Raw genomic sequence first — 22,275 nt, 5'->3', positions numbered from 1 at the left:
AGGATGGTCTCCATCTCTTGACCTTGTGATCCACCCACTTCAGCCTCCCAAAGTGCTGGGATTACAGGCGTAAGCCACCGCGCCTAGCCTAGTAAATTAATTCTATGTTTTAAAAGTCTTCAGTAAAATGGTGAGGAACGTGTATAGTTTCTCCTGTGCCTTTGATTAAACTATACTAGTCCTCTGGCTCTGTTTCCTTCCATTGACTCTAGTGAAAACATACTTTTCAACCCCACCCACACCCTCATCTCTTCCTTTTTCTATGTCAGTTCAGATGATGTCATTGACTCCTTTAGGCTCCAAACTAACACACCTTTATAAATGACCTCTACATCTTTATCTTCAGTCCTAAATTTCCAACTGTTTGTAAGCCCCGTTCTCCTACCTGTAGCATTTTGGTTTGTCTGTTAAGGGTCCTGCCATTTCTCTGGTTATTCAGACTGAAACCGTTGGAGCCCTAGGTGGCTTGTCCTCGTCCCTGACCTCCTCCATGCCCTATCCTCTGATTTCTCTTCTATTTATCTTGTTTCGTGCAATCTCTCAAGTATACCTGGTTCATGCCCCTCCTCGAGGCAGCAATTAGGAGCTGAAATCCAGTCCATACTCTGTCCAGCCATGTACCCTGATGAGGGGCATGGTAACTTGGGACTGTATTCTGGACACTGTATATGGTATGTCGTGGAGACTTGGGATTCTTAAGTATATTGATTTTTTGTTGTTGTTGCTATGTTAGCAGGTAATTAACTTGGTTAGCCTCAAGCTCCAAACTCTGTCTCCTCCATGATGCGTAGCAGCGAAAATCTCCGTTCAGTTATTTTAGCATTTGCTGTGTATGTATATTTCACAGGTCAGCCCAAGATTTGGGCAGAGTTTACAGGAAAAATTTCAGGCTATTCCTCTGTGGTTCTCTCCTTTCCCAGATTTCTCCTTATACTTTCCAGCTGTTATGGTCACTGATTTGCTCTTCTCTGGTTCTTCGAGCTAAAAACAGCAGGTTTCTACTGAGTTTTAGACATCCGTATAAGACTAACTGTGATCTGCCCTCAGGAGAAAAACTATAAAAATGAGAAACTCACCAGTATCAATCCTTTCTTCCAAGTGTTGGCTGTGCTCTACTTTCTCCCTGCTTTTGATAAGCAGTGCCTTCTGGATAGTTATTTTTCAGATTTTGTCCAGAGTTTGCAGAGGTGATCAATAGGTAATTTGATCAAATAGGAGCTACTCTGACATAAATGGAAGTAGAACCTTTCTGAGTCTGTAGTTCTCTGAATATACTCTGTAATTGCCAACTCCGGTTTTTTGTTTGTTTGTTTCTGGAGACAGAGTCTCGCTCTGTCACCCAGGCTGGAGTGCAATGGCGCAATCTTGGCCTCCTGGGTACAAGTGATTCTCATGCCTCAGCCTCCCGAGTAGCTGAGATTATAGATGTGCGCCATCACACTCAGCTAATTTTTTTTTTTTTTTGGTATTTCAGTAGAGATGGGGTTTCACCATGTTGGCCAGGCTGGTCTCGAACTCCTGAGCTCAGGCAATCTGCCCTGCCCACCTCGGCCTCCCAAAGTGCTAGGATTACAGGCGTGAGCCACTGCGCCCAGCCCCAACTCTTGTGTTTTCCCCAGAAACATAAAACTTCAGAGAAGGAAGAGATGATAAAGATGCCCCTCATGATTTCCTTTGCTTAGGAAAAACCAAACAGCTACTGCCTCATACTCCCCCCAACCTTTGCACCAACAGAATCTCCAACCCTCCAGCCTTCAAGGCCCAGTTCCACTCCGATCATCCATAGCATTCTGGTCATACTGATCCTGTAGTACTAATTATAATCTGCCTCACATTCTAGTGATCTATGTACTGACCTCATTTTCTCTTCTAAATTAAGACTCCATAAAAGTGGAGACTCTTACTCACATCTTGGTACCCACTACAGTTCCTAGAAATATGACAGCCTTCTATTAAGTACTCTATAAATATTTGGTGGATGATTAGGGAGAAGTGTGAGTAAAATATTAAAAGGGTAGGACTGTGTCTGTTACCCTGCATAAGGGAACAAACAAATATCTAGCATGTTAGTTTATTTAACCAAGTTTCCTTCTGGAAAGAAGGATCTTCCCAAGAGGAGACACTACTTGCTGGTCCACTGGACATGTTGGTGAAAGTTACAACCTCTCCCAGAGTATACTGACCTGTTAATCTTCCTAAAACATTACTCTAGGTACCACATTCCTGCTCAAAACCTAAAATGACTCTTTCTGGATTACAGTAAGAAGACTATTTCTCTGCCTGATTTTGATGGTAGAATCTGTCCGAGATCTGTTTCATCTTTATTTCCTTTTCCTCCCCAACATGCACTCTGCTCTCATTAGGCATCAGTCTGTCCTCCTGAAACACGTGATGCTTGGCTTCTGATTATGGTTGAAATACTTTTACTCCACTCATCTAAATTCTGCTCACCTTTCCAGGTCAAGGTCAATTTCCTCTTTAAATCTCATATCTTGTTGGAGCCTTTCCAACCCTTAGCATCCTTACTTTGAACTCCTGATACACTCATATTATGTAGTTAACTAGTGAGCACTGCTCTTTAAAGGAGACTGTTACAGCTAAAAGGAATGACAGATCAGTATTCATCAAAACTGATGGTATAAAAATAAAATGAAATAAAATAAAAGGAATGACAGAAATGTGCTGATCACATCATGCATTTCACAAGTGAGGAACTTAGACCCAGAATGGTGAAGTGGTTAAGTGATCTGCCTAAGGCAACTCAGCAAAATAGTATCTTTTTTTGGTGGGGGTAGTCAGAGTCTTGCTATGTTGCCCCGGCTGGAGTGCCTTGACTATCCTCAGACATGATCATAGCACAGGACAGCCAAGAACTCCTGTACTCAAGAGATCCTCCTGCCCCAGCCTCCCAAGTAGCTGAGACTACAAGTGTGTGCCACAGCGCCCAGTGTCAGCTAAACAGTATTTGAGTTAATGACTGGAATTGTTATCTCCTGACTCAGTTGGGCCTCTTTCTACTCTGCTTCGCTGTATAATATTTGGCTTATGTTATTTCCTTTATTAAACTGTAAACTCTTTGAGAGAAACTTCTTACTGACTTCTTTTATATTCCTCATAACATAGGCATACAGATAGAGAAGTACTTAAGAAATAGTTGCTGACTGGCTGGGCATGGTGGCTCATGCCCACAATCCCAACACTTTGGGAGGCTGAGGCAGGTGGATCACTTGAGGTCAGGAGTTCAAGACCAGCCTGGCCAACATGGTGAAACCCCATCTCTACTAAAAATACTAAAATTAGCTGGGCGTGGTGAGGTGTGCCTGTAATCCCTGCTATTTGGGAGGCTGAGGCACAGGAATTGCTTGAATCTGGGAGGCGGAGGTTGCAGTGAGCTAAGATCATGCCTGGGTGACAGAGCAAGACTCCGTCTCAAAAAAAAAGAAAAAGAAAAAGAAATAGTTGCTGACCAAAGTCAATGTAGTAATCTTGGAGGGCTGGATCTTACATAGCATATATTTCTTGATTAACAATAAAAGAGAAAAGAATGAAGTAATATTTAACCCTAAAATATGTGAAAATCTTATAATTCTTAAGATATTATGGCTCCTTTGCTCCTTTCTAGTTTTTTCTCAAAATCTTTTGCCTGACTCAATAATATCTTCACCAAGCCATTTTAAAAAACAAAAATAGCATATTCTAACAATTTCTAAACTTTTTTCCATAAAATATATTTCAAAGTGATAAAATGGAATGTACCTTATTAAATATTCTAATTGGCAATGTAATAAATAATTACTAATTTTGGGTCAACTGATCTAATCTGGGAGAAGGTACTATGGAAAATGGCAAATCATACTCTATGATAGGAAACAAACACTTAAGGACTACTTGATTAAAAAAAAATTTCTGTTTAAGAAAAACCAGGCCAGTTGACAGGTAAGCAATAGAAAAACCATCAGTGTTAAAGCTTTTTAAAAAAATCAAACAAGTACTTTTAAAGTGTTTTATATTCATATTAATTGGTTGAATTAGACTTGTTTTCTCTCAGCACTTTACCAATCTCTTCATACAGGTCTTCTGTTTAGAGAGCTATTCTTAATTATTATTTAGAGCTCTGATACATTTACTACTAAAAGTCAAATGAGATAATTTATCTTTAAATTAAAAACAAATTCTATTTTTAAAAAATTAATGACCATGGGCATGGTGGCTCATGCCTGTAATCCCAGCACTTTGGAAGGTTAAGGCAGGGTGGATTGCTTGAGGCCAGGAGTTCGAGACCAGCCTGGGCAACACGGCAAAACCCTGTCTCTACAAAAAATACTAAAATCAGTTGGGCATGGTGGTGCACGCCTGTAGTCCCAGCTACTTGGGAGGCTGAGGTGGGAAGGATTGCTTGAGCCTGGGGGGCTGAGGTTGCAGTGAGCAGTGATCACACCACTGAACTCCAGTCTGGGCAAAAGAACAAGACCCTCTCTCTCAAAAAAAAAAAAAAAAAAAAAAAAAAAAAATATATATATATATATATATATATATATATATTTAAATTCGTATTTCTTAATCTTTGCACTTCTTAATTATTGTCTCAGCAAATGAATGACATATTCCTCTCAAAGACTGAGGCAAATATTAAATATTAGTTTCTCATACTTTCCTAGAGTAGAAGTGACCTGAAAACAAACATGAGGACTTGTGTCTACTACTAGATCCAATCCTCAAAATAATATTATGGAGAACATATTGAAAGTATACAGTTTTTGGCACACTTACTCTTCCATTGAGACCCTCTGGGAATCCTTGGGCATTTTCTCCCCATTACAGGAGAGACAATATTTTTGAACCATTTCAGCTAACAACATGACATAAATATATTCACAGAAAATGAAAGCACGTTTTCTCCTGCAGAGGAGCTTCAGTCTGCTGAGTCTGAGAAGTCCATGGCTTGCAGAGCTTAAAATGTGCAGCCCTGAGTGGCATCATCTAAGAAGCTGCTCTTGCCTCAGTTTGGGAACAGAAGCTGGGCAGGATTGTCCAGCCCCACTATGTGTCCTATTACAGAAAATTTGCCAGTGAAGAAAGGAGGAAGGTGTTCTCTTCATTCCTTTAATCCTTCTTCACTCCCTTTTCATCATGGAAACGTTCACAATTATTCTAAGAGGCTACAGTTTTCAAATTTCTAATCCAGACCTTCTTTTTCAGATATTTCTTTTTCCTTTAAATAGTAAGATATAAAAAAAAATCAACAACTTTTAACCTGATATACAGTGATTTCTTTGGAAGATATAATCAATCAACAATTAGCAAAAATGGATCCCTCAGTCCAATCTCCAGTCTTACAGAGAGTTCACTTTTTCTTTTATGTATAAAATATCAGAACAAAATAAATTCATATAAGAAGTTACTTATGTACATCTTACTTTTTAAAATCAAATTATAAGTCAATTATGGGATTTTATTCCAAAAACCTTCTTTATCATTCTGAGGACTCGTGAAATAGGCTAGGTCTAGGTGTGTATGGTAAAATTTTGCACCTATCTGAACATGTCCTATATTTCTTCTCACATATTTAACTGCATTCCCCAATTTGGCATTGCAAGGCAAGTGGAGGCCTGGGGTCTTGTAGGATTCAGGGTTGGTTGAACGGTTAGATAAGGTGACCCTTGAGGTGCCTGGCAACACCAAGACTATGACTCTTTAGTTTAAGGATTGACTAGGAATGTGGATGGGGAAAGGTAGACAAAAGACTTATGGCTCATTTGTGACAATGGATTCATATTCCTCCCTACAAGAATCTGACCCATTCTCTATTAAGCTCTTTGCAATCTCATTTCTGTCCTCCCTGTCACTATGCTGTGGCCAGGCTGGCTGGCTACCTTATTTGGACACGGCAAGGCCAGAAATCAGGAAATGTGGGAAATGAGCATACACAGATCAGCAATGCTATAAAAATGGTTTTGCTTCTGGGAAGGTAAAAGGCCAAGGAGATTCCTGGGCTGCCTCAGCTCTGGTGATTAATGCCCTTATTCCTTGATGCTAATTACCACTGTTGGCATCCCAACACCATCAGCCTTGACTCTTGGCCAAGTAGTAGAGATAAAAGCTATTCATCCTTTAGTATGATATTTACTGAGAGTGAATGAAGCACAGGACACAAACCAGAAGTAGCTCCCAATCAGTGGTTTCACTTGGAATAAAGCTAAATAAAGCATAAAAAGAGCAAGAGAAGGGAAATGTCACTTAACAGCTCCCGAAGGGATACTATATGGTATACTTATAAGTCTAAGGATATATACACTAATATGATATAATCAAGATTAATAGAAAAATGGAGGCCAATACACTTATGTGATGGGCTTTCATTTCCTGAGTACTAAAAACCAAAGAAGAAAGGTAATAAACAAGAAGTTGATAGTGAGCAATGCGTACACCCATGCATATGCATCAACTGATATATTTTTCTGCCTAGACTTTTTGCAAACACACCTGGCCACCTGTCATTATTTTTAAGACACAAATAACAAACTGCTCTTGCAAACAGTTACTTTTGAGCGCAGTTATCAGTTAAGGAAAATTTTCTGCAGGTGTAAAAATTATATTTCTCAACAAGGAAAATTCAGGTCTAGTCAGTTTACTCATTAAGCCTTTAGAATTTAGCTTTGGCTTATTTTCTTTCGGTAGGATTCTTTCATTTTTGGTCCATGAAAGTTTAAGCCTAAAGCAAGGAGTTCTCAAACTTTTTGGCTCCAGGACTCCTTTATACTTTTAAAAATTATTGAGGAACCCAAGGAATGTTTGCTTATATGGGTTATTTCTCCCAGTGTTTACTGTAATAGAAATTAAAACTGAGAAAAATTTAAAATATTAATTCATTTAAAGCAACAATGATAAAGCCATTACATTAAGCCCATCAAATTAACACAAATCACATTTTTATGAAAAAATACTTCTGTTTTTTTGAAATGAAAATAACTAACAAGAATGGCATTGTCTTACATTTTTGTAAATCTCTTTAATATCTGGATTAATAGAAAATAACTGGATTCTCATATCCATTTTTACATCCAATCTATTGCAACTCAGTTATTTGGGTTGAAGTATATAAGAAAATCTAGCCTTATGTGGATATGTAGTTGAAAGAGGGAAATGTATTTTAATAGCCTTATCAGATAATTGTGGATATTCTTTGATGCTACATGAAAACTCAACAAGAAGCTACTGCCAACGAGTACACTGTGGAAAGGGGGAGAAAGAATAACTTTAGGGCAAAAAAAAACCTGACAAACATTATCTCAGACAAGTATGATGAAGGTTAGCATCAACATTTATAAGCCATGTTGACAGTATGAATCCTTGACATGATGTGATGAAAGTAGTACTTGATTTCTGTGGTCTATTCCCCAAAGACCATCATTCCAGTCTAATCATAAGGAAAACATCAGACAAATCCCAGTTGGGAGACATTTTACAAATACCTAACTAGTACTCCTCAAAACTGTCAAGATCATCAAAAACGAAAAGTCTGTGAGAAACTGCCATAGCCAAGAGAAGCCTAAGGAGACATAGCTAAGGTAATGTGGTATTGTGGAACAGAAAAAGGACATTAGGTAAAAACTAGGGAAATCTGAATAAAATATGGACTTTAGTTAATAATAATATATTAATATTGGTTCATTAATTGTAACAGATATACCATATGAATGTAAGATGTTAATAGGGGAAACTAGATTAGGAAGTATATGGAAACTCTCTGTACTAGAGTCTTGATTTTCCATAAGCCCAAAACTGTTCTAAAAAATAGAATCTATTAAAAAATTTTAACTTGAAAGGAGGTCATTTTTAAACTGTTAGTTGCAATGTAGAAACTGAAGTAGTATCAGTATACTTTTTGAATTCTGTTATATTAAAATCCATTAGTCTTTCCTGCACTTTAAGTAGATCTTTTGTCATGTATGATTTTGTAAGAGCAAGCATTGGTTATTGGAAAGTATTGGTTCATTGAGTTATGCAGATCTTCCAAATGTTGACACATTTAATTAAACAATTATCAAAACATTGCATGTGTTAATATCACCATCAATCTCATCTGAAAGATGTTTAAGAATTGGGAAGCTGTCAAGCTCATGATGGCAGAAACAAGTTTTCCAAAATTCTAATTTTCACTTGTTTGCTCAAATTTTATCACTGGCAACAAATATTGTCAGTTGTTTTCCTTGAAATGACAGTCTTATTTCATTCATTTTCAAGAAAATGTCTGTCAAACATTGTGAGAAAATGTCTGCCAAATCTGAATAACCATAGTTTGTCTGTCAAGCAGTCTTCCAAGTAAAAATGGTATTCTGTGAAAATAGTGGCTAGTTCAGCTTGCAACTCTAACAACCGTACAAGTGCTTTTCCCCAGGACAGCCTTCATATTTGATATAGTGCAGAAGTGTTTTATTACGTGTACTTTCACTTCATCACAAAGAATATTCAAAAGACATGTTCTCAAAGTTGAGATTTAACAAAATAATTGTTACTGCTTCTTTAAGGATATTCTTAAATGAAACTGGGTTATTTATTTATTTATTTATTTTTACTGTGAGTATATGATCAGTGAAAAATATAGTATTTTTTGGTGCTATTGCCTTGATTCCTGCTAAGGTGCCAGCAGTTTCACCTATCAGTGCTTTTGCATCATTACTGTAAATACTACCAGAGTGAAAAAGCCAAGAAGTGTTACAGAGAGTTTAGATTCCCAGGACCCCTAAAAGGGTCTCGGGGACCCCTAGAGGTCTATAAACCACATTTTGAGAACCACTGTCTTCAATAACCATATTTCTGACTTCTCCACTACCCTTGGATTAAACCAAGTAGCTGTATCAAGGTAAGGAAAGGAAACTTGAAAGCTCATGTCATGTCCACAGAGATGGATCTGCTTCATGTTCCTTTGCCACAGCTCTGATATGGAGGGAACGGCAGGGAACAAAGACCACCCAAACATATTCTCCTCCACCCTCCCACACTTCTCTAAGGCAGCACTTCCCAACCTTTGTCATGGCAGGAAGAGAAAGTATTTTTATTAATGGGCAAAGGGATGAGGCTGCCTAAGGCTTGGGGCCTCTTGCCTGGAGCCACAAACCCTGGAGGTACAGCCTTCAGAAGAGCAGAGGGGCTCGTAGCTGGACTTCCCAGTGGGTATGCCAACACACATGAGTTGGGCAGGTCCGTACTAAGGTTTTCAACACAGAGGGAGGCTCTCAGGACTGGAGGATGTCTGTTCCCCATTCAGCTTCATGCTCCATAAAATTCTTAAAGCTTAGCTCAGATGTGAGAATTCACAAATTATCTGATTACACTTTATTTATTTTTGTTGTTGTTATTTATTTATTTATTTATTGAGACAGAGTCTCTCACCCAGGCTGGAATGCAGTGGTGTGATCTTGGCTCACTGCAACCTCCACCTCCTGGGTTCAAATGATTCTCATGTCTCAGCCTCCTGAGTAGCTGGGATTACAGATGCTTGCCACCACGCCCGGCTAATTTCTATATTTTTAGTAGAGACGGGGTTTTGCCATGTTGTCCAGGCTGGTCTTGAACTCCTGACCTCATGTGATCCGCCTGCCTCGGCCTCCCAAATGATTACACTTTAAGATAGAGTCCAAAGTATATTAAAGATTGAGGAAAAACTTGTCCAGAACATCTTCAGATACAATGTAGTGATTAAAAGCACAGAATCTGACTCCCAAACTACCAAGAAGTTTGAGCTCTGGCTACACCACTTATTAGCTTTGTGACCTTGGGAAGGTAACTTAACATCTTGGTGTTTCAAATTCTCTACCTATAAAATGGGGACAATATTAGTGCCTACCTATTGTAAGTATCAAATGAGTTAATATATAAAAGCGCTTAGAATGATACCTGATGTGTGGCTATATTCATTATTATTATTATGTATGTGTTGCAGGGTCTCCTAACTCAGACTGCTGAACATGACGGTACTGAATTACAAATTTACGAAGAAAGAGAATCCAGGAGATACCAAGAAGCTAGATGTTAACCTGCAGGATTCTAAATCTGAGGAACTGTGCTTGGAACAGTGAGGGAAGAGGTGTGCAAACAGCAGAATGTGTCAGGCTTTTTCATTTTACTTATGGCATATGTCAAGGGCTTCCAATCTAAACCTTCTTTTACCTTATCAAGACACAGGTAAGTTTCTGTATTATTTTTTCCTTGGAAGGGGCCATGGCTCAAAAATAGTCATTATGGACTGTTAACCAATCTACTCCTTGCCAAAGACTTTTTCATGATGGTATCAGGTGACTGGGCAAGTCTTGGGCTTCAAGAGCCTTCTAGAAAATTAGGATAGATGATCCAAAGCTGGGACTGTCCCAGGCACACCAGATAGATGCCTGCTTCTTTACCTTAGGTTGGATGTGTTTTTATCTTTACTTAATGGTTTTTGGCAATTATTTAGCCTGGCTCATAAGATCATTATAACTCATTAAGAGTTTTAGGCTACATCTGAAGTTGAGGGATTTCAATTGTCCTCTTCATGCAAGAAATCAATATCTGAATTGCAGTTACAAGGTTGCAAAGCAATGCAAAATCATCATAACAAGAAAATAGTCATAAACAAACTAGCTACTTAAAAACTTAGCCCTTCCTGAAAGATCCCTCATAGCTTAACACTGCGACCTAACCCCACTTATCACGTCAATGCCTTTTGCAGGTCATTCAGTGCTTGTGTAATGTAGTAAACACCCCACAATTACAGTCTAGATAAGGGGCAAACCTGTCCATGCAAACTCACTGACAAATGAAGATCTGGCCAACTTGGAGAAAAAAAAAATCAACAAATAATAACATCACAAAAACTTCAAAAGAAAATAATTGACAAGGCTGGTCATGGTAGCTCACATCTGTAATCCCAGCACTTTGGAAGGCTGAGGTGGGTGGATCTCTTGAGGCCAGGAATTTGAGAACAGCCTGGACAACATGGTAAGACCCCCATCTCTACAAAACTTTTTAAACTAGCCAAGCATGGCGTTGTGTGCCTGCAGTCCCACCTACCAGGGAGGCTGAGGTGGGAGGATTGCCTGAGCCCAGGAGGTCAAGGCTGTAGTGAGCCATAATCATGCCACTGCACTTGTTCATTGTTTAATCTAAGAGTTTAGTTTGTAGTTGCTATTATAATCCATATTTTTTGTCAAATAAGACAAAACAATTTATTTTTATAAGTGTTATTTCATTTTTCAAGATAAAGTCTCAATCAATCTTCTTCCCCATCACCCCCGGACAGTAAATAAACTGAAGATTTTGGTTCCTGATAAGTGGCCTTTTCCTGTTACTAAAACTCCTAAAACAATGAGCATATTTTTAAAATGTGGATAAAACTCAGTGTCTGCTCCAAAAGAGACCATCTTTTCCTTCCTCCCCCAAGATTCAACAGGCCTGTCTTTTCCCGTTCCCCTCTTCTGCAGAAAGTGGAGGAGCTTCATCTTTTGGATATACAAGATTCTTCTCAAGTTTATTTTCCTTGCAAAATAAGTCAGACCTAAGTGGGAGCCTTAATAGAATTTTGTCAGGAGATGTTAGGTTATCAGGACCTTAAAGATTGATCCAGAAGAGGTCTGAAAGGTCCGTATCACCCAGAATGACTTTCACTAACAGAGATCAACATTACCACCCTGTCGGAGGATCCTCACTGATCCTAAACTATGCTGGTTCTGAAGTGCTAAATAATTGCTTTTTCGAGACGGAGTCTCGCACTGTCACCCAGACTGGAATGCAGTGGAGCGACCTCGGCTCAATGCAGGCTCCGCCTCCCGGGTTCACGCCATTCTCCTGCCTCAGCCTCCCCAGCAGCTGGGACTACAGGCGCCCGCCACAACGCCCGGCTAATTTTTTCTATTTTTAGTAGAGACGAGGTTTCACCGTGTTAGCTAGGATGGTCTCAATCTCCTGACCTCATGATCCACCCGCCTCGGCCTCCCAAAGTGCTGGGATTACAGGCGCGAGCCACCGCACCCGGCCGTCACTAGCTTTTAAGAAAAGCACTCATAAAATGGCCGCAGGTATAAGTATTTTGTCTTTTCCCTTACTGAAAAGCAACTGTTCTTTAGTTACCTAAAAGTCAAGATAAATCAGAGACCAGCTAGAATGATAAATTAAGCATGTCAATCGAAAAATTATGCTTAAAATTATATCTAATTTGGATTTGTTTTCCTCAAGATTTGCAATCAATAAATACATTGAATATCCACTGAAGTACTTAGAATTCCAGATTTTTTAAAAGACAGAATTCATATCTATAATGAATCTGCAGTCAAGATCTTTCTCAGTTATATGAATGTGTGCATATACAGCTAAACATTTTTTCTCTGTTGAACATATTATTTAATATATAATATAGATGCCACAGTTATAGAAATTCACCTTCTTTGACCCTGGCCCTAGTAGGTCCAATGTTATGGCAATATCAGATGGGCAATCAGTACAAGGAGTGGAAATTCTTTTATGTGATGCTTCCTTGGATCATGATAGCATTATTTCATCTTCCTTTTTCCTAACTCTCACCTCAAATATTTTTCCAAAATCTCTTATGTTTGACTTTTACAAAACAGCCCCAAAACTGATTTTATTTTTGCTTCTAGCAACAGTTGACAGTTCTCTCTGCATTTCTAATTTTGCATTAGAGCCCCTCTAAGTGCAAATTTTGTGCCAATATCTATAAAAAGCACATGGCAAAAATAGATGAGTATTTCCCTTAATGAGACTTTTAAATCGATTCTGACTCTGTGAATGGTATTTTAAAATCTGAAATGGGCAGAGAGGAAAACACGAAGTATTTTAACATGTGAAAAGGCCAGTGAGTCTGGACGTGCCTGGATACTTACTCTCTCACACAGCTCTTCAAATGTGCAGTCGGCAACGGTTCCACAGGCTTTATTCAGGCGCAGCTCTCTGCCTTGCACTTTTAGAATCCTTGGTCTAGTTACTATGGGAACATGAACAAAGACTCAATCTTGTCTGGATAATTACTATAAAATTCATCTCTTACAGATAGGAAATGCATAGCTTGATGAATAATAGCACATGATTCAACACATAAATTAGACAAAATGCTGATACAATGACTGCCACTTGAGCGTGGCATCAACCCATATACAGCAATGGAACTTATTAATTGGTCAGTGGAGATTGGGCATTGTGTTCTAAATGTATTCTCTTTCAAGAGAAATTAACTTACGTACAATCATTTTGTTTCTGAGCCAGCTCATCAAACAACTTATCCATGACAGCCTCCACATCAGCTTCACTTGTGCTACAGTGAAAAGAATAATAGAATATGAAATTAATAACACTTGAAGCCAACATCAAACAGCTGCCTGAGACTGCTTAGCTTTTTGCCCATAAAAAAAAAGAACAGGATGTTATGCTCTAAATACAAACATTAGATTTAGAATACACTTAAAAGCAGAGAATATTAACTCTCAGGTAGATGATTCTGCCTTATTTGCATACACTGAAAGACTTCTGTGCTTCTAGCTGTTTCCAGTAATGAGACGATACAGGCAGAGTAAATCCATTAATACCATGTGTACACAATGAGAAGAAAGCTTCTGGCTCTCTCTTGCATGCAAAACAAGAGCAAATAGACAAGGCAGTCAAGCATCCAGCAAAGTATCCTTTGAAATCTCTACTGAGAGGGTACATGTGAAATTAAATATTGAAGCTGCATTTTAAAAAAATCAAGTCAAGCCACTGACTGAGAGGATCAAACCTCCAGAATTAAATTACTACCTTCGAAATGCCAACTTGATCTGCACATCAATAACTTTGTCAGACTTCTAGTATAAGGACAATTATAGACCACACAGTTTCTCTCAAAAGTCTCCTTGTTGGAAATTGAAGAAAACTCTCTCCTTCTGTGATGCCCACTGTTACAGCTACTATGAAGTTAGTCTCATCACAGAATCTTTTGTATTCTAATTAGAAATCACCATATGGTTTAGGGAACTCATATATAAATGAGATGATGCTATGGCCTTTTTCCTCTCGCCTTTTTTTTTTAAGAGGGGTGGTAAATTAACAGTCAATAAAATAACTGGCAGAAGAAATAAACTGTTAAAAAGAGCTTCAAGTAAAAATGTAAGTTTACTTCAACTCCACATACAAACTTTTACAGGTTGACCTGCCAATATGCTTAATTTTGACACACAGATCACTCTTACGTAGTAGTGGAAGCAATTAAACTAAATTCTGGACATCCATCTTACTAAAGTCTTATTGAAAATTAGTGTGACAGGTTATCTTTTATTTAGATTAAGCTTAAACTAAACAAATTCTCCCTTGAGATAATTATCAGGTGGTAGGCATTTAATACACAAGCACCCAATTCTTCAACTGTTCTAGAGCAAATGTCTTTAAAATGCAACAAAGCATATAGTTATTATGAAAAGTTTGAAATTGTCACATTCCAAGTAATAACCACTCCACCTCAAAGGACATTAAAAACATCATTTGCAATGGTCAACTTTGCAGGAGAAATGCTATTTGACTTCCATGAGGTCTAGTGTCATATTCAAATAGAGTGGTATTAAAATAATGAAATGACACTATAGAAAGTAATTTTAGAGACAGAAACAATCTTAAAGGAAAAAGAAATCACACAAACCAATGTAAATGTCAATGGTCATGCCAAGCACATGTCTGTTTAGACATTATTCTTGAGAATTCATTTGGAACCAACACCACCTTTGGTGTATACAAGCAAAAAAAGAAAAAAAAGAGCTTAAAAGTAAGCTACTTTTGAGCCCATATAGCCAAGACAATCTTAAGCAAAAAGAACAAAGCTGGAGGCATCACGCTAGCAAACTTCAAACTATACTGCAAGGCTACAGTAACCAAAACAGCCTGGTACTGGTACCAATACAGACACATAGACCAATGGAACAGAACAGAGATCTCAGAAATAAGACCACACATCTACAACCATCTGATCTTTAAGAAACCTGACAAAAACAAGCAATGGGGAAAGGATTTCCTGTTTAATAAATGGTGCTGGGAAAACTGGCTAGCCATATGCAGAAAACCAAAACTGGACCCCTTCCTTATGCCTTATATAAAAATTAACTCAAGATGGATTAAAGGCTTAAATGTAAAACCCAAAACCATAAAAACCCTAGAAGAAAATCTAGGCAATATCATTCAGGACATAGGCATGGGCAAAGATTTTATGATGAAATCACCAAAAGCAATTGCAATGAAGGCAAAAATTGACAAATGGGATCTAATTAAACTAAAGAGCTTCTGCACAGCAAAAGAAACTATCATCAGAGCGAAGAAACAACCTACAGAATAGGAGAAAGTTTTGTAATCTACCCATCTGACAAAGGTTTAATATCCAGAATCTACAAGGAACTTAAACAAATTTACAAGAAAAAAGAAAACAAACAACCCCATCAAAAAGTGAGCAAAGGACATGAACAGACACTTCTTGAAAGAAGACATTCATGCGGCCAACAGACATATGAAAGAAGGCTCAACACCACTGGTCATTAGGGAAATGCAAATCAAAACCACAATGAGATAACATCTCATACCAGTTAGAATGGCGATTATTAAAAAGTCAAGAAACAACAGATGCTGGTAAGGCTGTGGAGAAATAAGAATGCTTTTACATTGTTGGTGGGAATGTAAATTAGCTCAACCATTGTGGAAGACAGTATGGTGATTCCTCAAGGATCTAGAACCAGAAATACCATTTGACCCAGCAATCCCATTAGTGGATATATACCCAAAGGAATATAAATCATTCTATTATAAAGATAAATGCACACATATATTTGTTGCAGCACTATTCACAACAGCAAAGACAGGGAATCAACCCCAATGCCTATCAATGATGGACTGGATAAAGAAAATGTGTACACATAGACTATATGGAATACTCTGCAGCCAGAAAAGGAAGCAGATCACGTCCTTTGCAGGCACATGGATGGAGCTGGAAGCCATTATCCTCAGCAAACTAACACAGGAACAGAAAACCAAACACTACATGTTCTCGCTTCTAAAGTGGAAGCTGAACAATGAGAACACATGGACACATGGAGGGGAACAACACACACCAGAGCCTGTCAGGAGCCGGGGGGAGAGGGAGGAAGAGCATCAGGATAAATAGCTAATGCATGTGGGGCTTAATATCTAGGTGATGGGTTGATCGGTGCAGCAAACAACATGGCACACATTTACCTATGTAACAAATCTGCACATCCTACACATGTATCCCCAAACTTAAAATAAAATATATATTTTTAAAAAGTGAGCTGGCCGGGCATAGTGGCTCACGCCTGTAATCCTGGCACTTTGGAAGGCTGAGGTGGGCGAATCATCTGAGGTCAGGAGTTCGAGACCAGCCTGGCTAACATGGTGAAACCCCGTCTCTACTAAAAATACAAAAAATTAGCTGGGTGTGGTGGCATGCGCCTGCAATCCCAGCTACTCGGAAGGCTGAGGCAGGAGAATCGCTTGAACCCGGGAGGCGCAGGTTGCAGTGAGCCAAGATTGTGCCATTGCACTCCAGCTTGGGCAACAAGAGCAAAACTCTGTCTCAAAAAATAAAAAAAATTTTAAAAAAGTGAGCTGCTTTTTAAGGAACATAGCGAAAAGAGAGCAACACCACCCACTCAGTATGGTCTGCTGTCATTTAGAAAGTTAATCTTTCCTTAGGACAGGCACATTACTCAACATAGGAGTAAAACTGAATTCTGAAAAACAACCAAGAAAGAAGACAGGCCTCCAAAAGCATATTTGGTGAATAAATAATTCCTTGCAATCTTCCTCAGTGGTGATTTCTTTATTACTCTATGGTCTCGTATATACTATATTATCAAAATGTGACTCACTAAACTTCAATCAGGTCACCTCTCCTAAGTCACCTGTGAAATTACAATACTTGATTTTCTATATAGTGAAATTACATGTGAAATATCACAAAATTATTTTTGTTATAACAGTGTCTTATAAGAATTCTATTATAATCACTCAGAAGTTACAAAATGCAAAATAAAAAATTTTATTGGTGTAATCCAGGCGTGGGACGCATGCCTAGAATCCTGGCACTTTGGGAAGCCGAGGTGGTCAGATTACTTGAGGCCAGGAGTTGGAGACCAGCCTGGCCAACACAGCAAAACTTTATCTCTACAAAAAATACAAAAATTAGCCGGCATGGTGGTGCGTGCCTGTGATCCCAGCTACTCAGGAGGCTGAGGCATGAGAATCCTTGAACCTGGGAGGTGGAGGATGCAGTGACCCAAGATCATGCCACTGGACTCCAGCCTGGGCTACAGAGGGAGACCATGACTCAAAAAAAAAAAGAAAAGAAAAGAAAAGAAAAAGAAAGGAGGGAGGGAGGAAGGAAGGAAGGGAGGGAGGGAGAGAGATTGTGCCACTGCCCTCCAGCCTGGGCGACGGAGCGAGATTCCATCTCAAAAAAAAAAAAAAAAGATAGCTCGGTGAACAAGCAGCATATGTAAAATCATTCTGTTTTTAACAAGTAATAACAAATGCAAAGTAAAATAATAAGATGCCATTCTTCTATCCAAATTGGCAGAGAGAAGGAAAAAGATAAACTATCCTAAGCAAATGGACATTCGTTTAAAAAAATATTTTAAACTTTTTTGTTGTATATATTAAGGTGTACTACATGATGTTTTGATATATATAGTGAAATTATCACTACAGCCAATCAAATTGACATATCCATCATCTCAGTTACCTTTTGTGTGTGAGGGGTTGGGGGCGGTAAGAGCACCTAAAATCTATTCTTTTAGCAAATTTCCAGTATACAATACACTATTTTCAACTATAGTCCTCATGCTGTATATTTGATCTTTAGACTTAGTCATCCTTTGTAATTGCAACTTGCTATCTTTTGACCTACCTCTCCTCATCCCTTCCCCTTCTCCTCACTCAACCCCCATCCCTGGTAATGACTGCTCTATTCTATTTCTACTTATTTGATTTCTCTGTTTCTAAGTATTTGACTTTTTTAGAAGATCCCATATCCAAGTGAGATCTTGTAGTATCTTTCTGTCTGTATCTAGCTTATTTTACTTAATATAATGTCCTCCAGTTTTATCCATGTTGTTGCAAATTGCAGGATCTCCTTTTTTAAGGTTGAATAATATTCCATTGTGTATATAGACCACAATTTATCCATTTATCCATCAATGGACACTGCGTCCTTAGATACTTTTTAACATAATGCTTTCCCAGTATGCTCTGTTCTGTATAATGACTCCAGAGGAACTTGGGAATATGAAAAGAGAAGAGTAAGCAAGTTTCGGAATGAAGCAAGAAGGCAAGATGAAAACATGGTCCCATAATTATATTTCTTGTCGAAGTATCCTCTGGTGTAAATAGGAGGCAGCATGTTTTCAAATTTTTAATAAGAACACGATGGATTTGGGAGGCCGAGGCGGGCGGATCAAGAGGTCAGGAGTTCAAGACCAACCTGGCCAACATAGTGAAACCCCATCTCTACTAAAAATACCAAAACTTAACAGGGCATGGTGGCGGGACCTGTAATCCCAGCTACTCGGAAGGCTGAGGCAGGAGAATCACTTGAACCTGGGAGGGGGAGGTTGTAGTGAGTCAAGATCATGCCACTGCACTCCAGCCTGGGCAACAGTGTCAAAAAAAAAAAAAAAAAAAAAAGAAGAAGAACACGATAGAACATCAATTTAAATGAAACATTCTGAATTTCATTTCTATGGCCCAATACTATCTTAGGAGTGATGGGAGATCCAAGAGTATTGATAAAAACATATTTGCATCAGAGGTTTAGTCCAAGAAAAATGATCAGGTCCAGTCCTGGGGCCAGTGGTATTTAGTTCAGTCTTATACGGTGTCTCTGCCTTCGTCATAGTTATGAAGGTTGAGAATTTTATGTTCTCATTAATTATTTCCAGAGGTTTCAAATCTCACCCTCAAGAAAGATTCACTCACATTCACTACATTCCACTTAGTCACCTTTTAGGAAGATGATCAATTGAGAAGAGTTGAAACGATTCTGTCAGCATGCCCTCACATTTCTCCCTCCTCATGGTCGACCAAGATGCTGGTCGACCAAGATTCTTGTTTAATAGTTTATTACAAAGGATATCTTAAAGAAAATAAATACACAGCCAAATGAAGAGATACATACAATGAGCTCTGCAAGGGTCCTTAGCACAGGAGTATCTGTCCCCTTGGAGCTGGGCTGTGCCACCCTCCTAACATGTGAATGAGTTCTTGTTCATGTTCCTGTCGATCTCCTCCTGTTCAGTTATCTCAAACAACACTCTTATGTACAGCTGGGAGGAGTACAAAAATAGTACCAGATTTCAGGCAAACAGATAATATTTAATGAAAGTACTAAAAATGTGTATGTTTTTATGAAATATGAAACTCATAGGAATTTTACCTATGGACATAATAATGGTTAACTACTACAAGGGTGATCACTGTAATACTGTTCCTAGCATCACAAAAGTGAAAAAGAAATGTCCCACAATGGGGAATTTGGTTAAGTACATTTGGATACACTTATACAATGGAAGAGTAAGCAGTTCTGTAAGTGTAATATTTCCCTCTTGTCCTAGAATTACAATTAAGGCACAAAGTTGATGGTTAGAGTGTTAAGTATCCCCCTACTTTCTAAACAGAACTGCCAATGAGCCACCTAGTGCCAACAGCCACTAGGTCTATATAAGCCCTCATGGTTATATAAGCAGTGCCACTTCTATTGCCACCCCTCCTCCACCATCTCCTGTTATACCCCACAACACAGTGTCTTTATAAGGAGGGGGAAATGGAACAACAGTCACTAGCTTTTGGGTATAGTATGTGTGATAAGAGCCTTTCCCTGCCTTCCCCTTGGGAAAGAAGAGGATGACGACTTATCCTCCCCAAAGGCAAGTGATGAGGGAAGTGTTCTCTAAGAGAATGACTTGGAAACATTAGGGAGCCTAGAAGAAGGAATGACTGGCATTGCTCTCCTTACTTGGATGAGCAGAACCTTAATTGATGGGAAATCAGAAGGTGAGAGGTGGAATACAGAGCCAAAATGAAGCAGACCAGTTCTCACCAAAGAACTCTCCAAAGGCTTGGCACTAGCAGATACAGCTGAATGTACAGGTGAGGAGTTAGGCTGCAAACGGGTATTTGTTTGAAAATAAGATAAAGACAGTTCCTTAGATTCTCTCCTTCCACTTGGATAGCCAGATTCCTGCCCTCCTCCACTCCAGCAGAAACTGGCAAGTCTGGAATTCTAATTAAGGGAAAAAAGTCAGGCTGGCAGGACCAGAGGAAAGCAAAAAGAGAAAGCAGATAAGTCTGCCTTTCTTGATGGTCCAGGACACATACTCCTCCTGTGCAAATAACTCAAAATCCTCCTATGCCCAGCTATCACCAGCCACTCAGTTGATAGAAAAATGCAAGTTAGTTCACTGCAACCTTGGCATTATCACTGCACAAAGCCCTCTTCAGCACACAGCACAAGTACCAGCCTATAAAATCCCCAGCAAGCCTCTGTCTCCTTGCAGCCACCTTCTTTCTTGCTGACCTGCCTGTTGCACCCTTACAACGTATTTTCATACTTTCTCTAATACATTTGTCTTTCTTTACCCACAACTGTCTTCTTATCACTCACACAACCAGCCAGACAGTCATTACCCACAACAGTAAGTTTAGCAGCTGGGGTAGATTTAACAATGAAGAAAAAGGGAGAGATACCATACTGAAAGCCTACATTAAAATTTTCTTTTCTTTTTTTTTAATGTCCCTTGAGTTGTATAAAATCCTACATATTAAATAGTGTAACTAACAATCTGTACCTTTTCAGCATCCAGAACCCTACCAGCAAAACTTCTATCCCAGGAATTAGACAGAAAGATTTACCTTTGGAGGAAACTGAATAGCCAAAAGAAAGACTTACAGATATTCACATTTGGAGATCTCCAGTGAAAAACATGACCAGCCACCTTATCACCCTCCAGTGAAGCCCACCAATCAATAAAACTCTGCTTATGCACTCAGAACTTCTGATTAGCTTTTTAATGCCTTATTCTTACATGTGAATGGACAACCAAGTATTTCCAAAGGTAAAAGACAAAGACCCAAAATAAAGACATTTTTAAAAGGACCCTGGAGGAAGCAAAGAAAAAAATAAGAGAGCAGAAAGGGAAGAACACACTATAATATGCTTGGAGAGAATAAGATATTGCACCCACAAGACAAAGAAGAATGCTGCAAACCAAAAGAACAACAAAGGCATAAGGAAGAGCTCTAAATAGGACTGCTAGATCCAAAATGCAGGAAAAGGATTGAAGGAAAAAGTTGAGGTCATATCAGAAAATAGAACAAAAAGACCAAAAAAAAAAAAAAGGAAAATAGAAGAGAAAACAAAAGAACATTAGAAGATCAATTCACAAGATTCAGTTCAATTCACAAAGTTCAGGAGGAGTTCCGGAGAATATGAGGTGGGGTGGAGGGGTGGGGAGAAGAAAAGAATGAGAATAAAATTGACTTTCCTAGAACTGCAGGACATGACTTTCTAAAGCTGACAGGGTTCAATGAATACCCAGCACAAAGAATGGAAAAAAGCTCCATTCCAAGGCATATCCTTATGCAATTTCAGGAAACCAGGAACAAAGAGACTACTCTAAAAACTTCAAGAGGAAAAAACAGGTCAAATATAAAAAGTCAAGAAACAGATTCACATCCAACTTTGTAACAGCAATAATGGAAGCTTGAAGATAATGGTATAGTGTCTAAAATATTCTAAGAGAATATTATTGTGTGATAACCGTGATCATTCAAACTATTAATCAAGTAAAACAAATACATTTTTAGGACATGTGAGTTTTCAAAATATATATTTCCCATGTACCCTTCTCAGGATGATACTCAAGGGTGTGTTCTATTTAGAACAAGGAGAAGAGTTCTGCTTCTAATAGGACCAAGTTGGCTCTGCTTCAACCAACCCTCCCTGTTGATAACAACTATATGTAAACTCTGGAAAAATATAAAAACAGGCATCTGAAGGCATGGGACAGTGGACAGAAGTGAACAGATTCTGGTGGGGTGCTGACACTTGGGAGAAGGGATAAATATGGGGTTAGTTATCCAGTCTTACAGCTTTCAGACTGAAGACAGTGCAGTCAGTACTGCTCAGGTCAACTAAAACTCCAGTAGAAAACCTGCAGTCTTCTGACATGAATAACCAGAGGAAAGCTGCAAGTTGGGGAATCC

At 38.7% G+C, this 22,275-nt stretch overlaps 1 protein-coding gene and 1 long non-coding RNA gene across 10 annotated transcripts in view; one reads left to right on the top strand and one right to left on the bottom strand.

The window, feature by feature from the left end:
• The window catches only part of LOC124901370 (uncharacterized), a 29,555-nt gene extending 8,274 nt beyond the window's left edge, over window positions 1-21,281 (top strand). The window contains exons 2-3 of the long non-coding RNA XR_007059698.1: window positions 9,944-10,185; window positions 20,867-21,281. This is a non-coding gene — a long non-coding RNA (uncharacterized LOC124901370). The remainder of the gene's footprint in view (window positions 1-9,943; window positions 10,186-20,866) is intronic.
• Window positions 1-22,275, bottom strand: part of AFG1L (AFG1 like ATPase) — a 230,948-nt gene that overhangs the window by 35,834 nt on the left and 172,839 nt on the right. For all 9 annotated transcript variants that reach the window (NR_136553.2, NM_145315.5, NM_001323005.2 and 6 more), the window contains 2 exons: window positions 13,233-13,303; window positions 12,876-12,976 (listed from right to left, as the gene is read on the bottom strand). Coding sequence is in view for 8 of the 9 variants with exons in the window: in NM_145315.5 (NP_660358.2) it covers window positions 12,876-12,976; window positions 13,233-13,303 (172 nt within the window). In the remaining variant the exon portion in view is untranslated. The remainder of the gene's footprint in view (window positions 1-12,875; window positions 12,977-13,232; window positions 13,304-22,275) is intronic.

The sequence above is a fragment of the Homo sapiens genome, chromosome 6 (assembly GCF_000001405.40).
Source record: "Homo sapiens chromosome 6, GRCh38.p14 Primary Assembly".
Lineage (NCBI taxonomy): Eukaryota > Metazoa > Chordata > Mammalia > Primates > Hominidae > Homo > Homo sapiens.
Note: the sequence above shows the minus strand (reverse complement) of the source record. Positions and strands in the feature narration are given on the sequence as shown.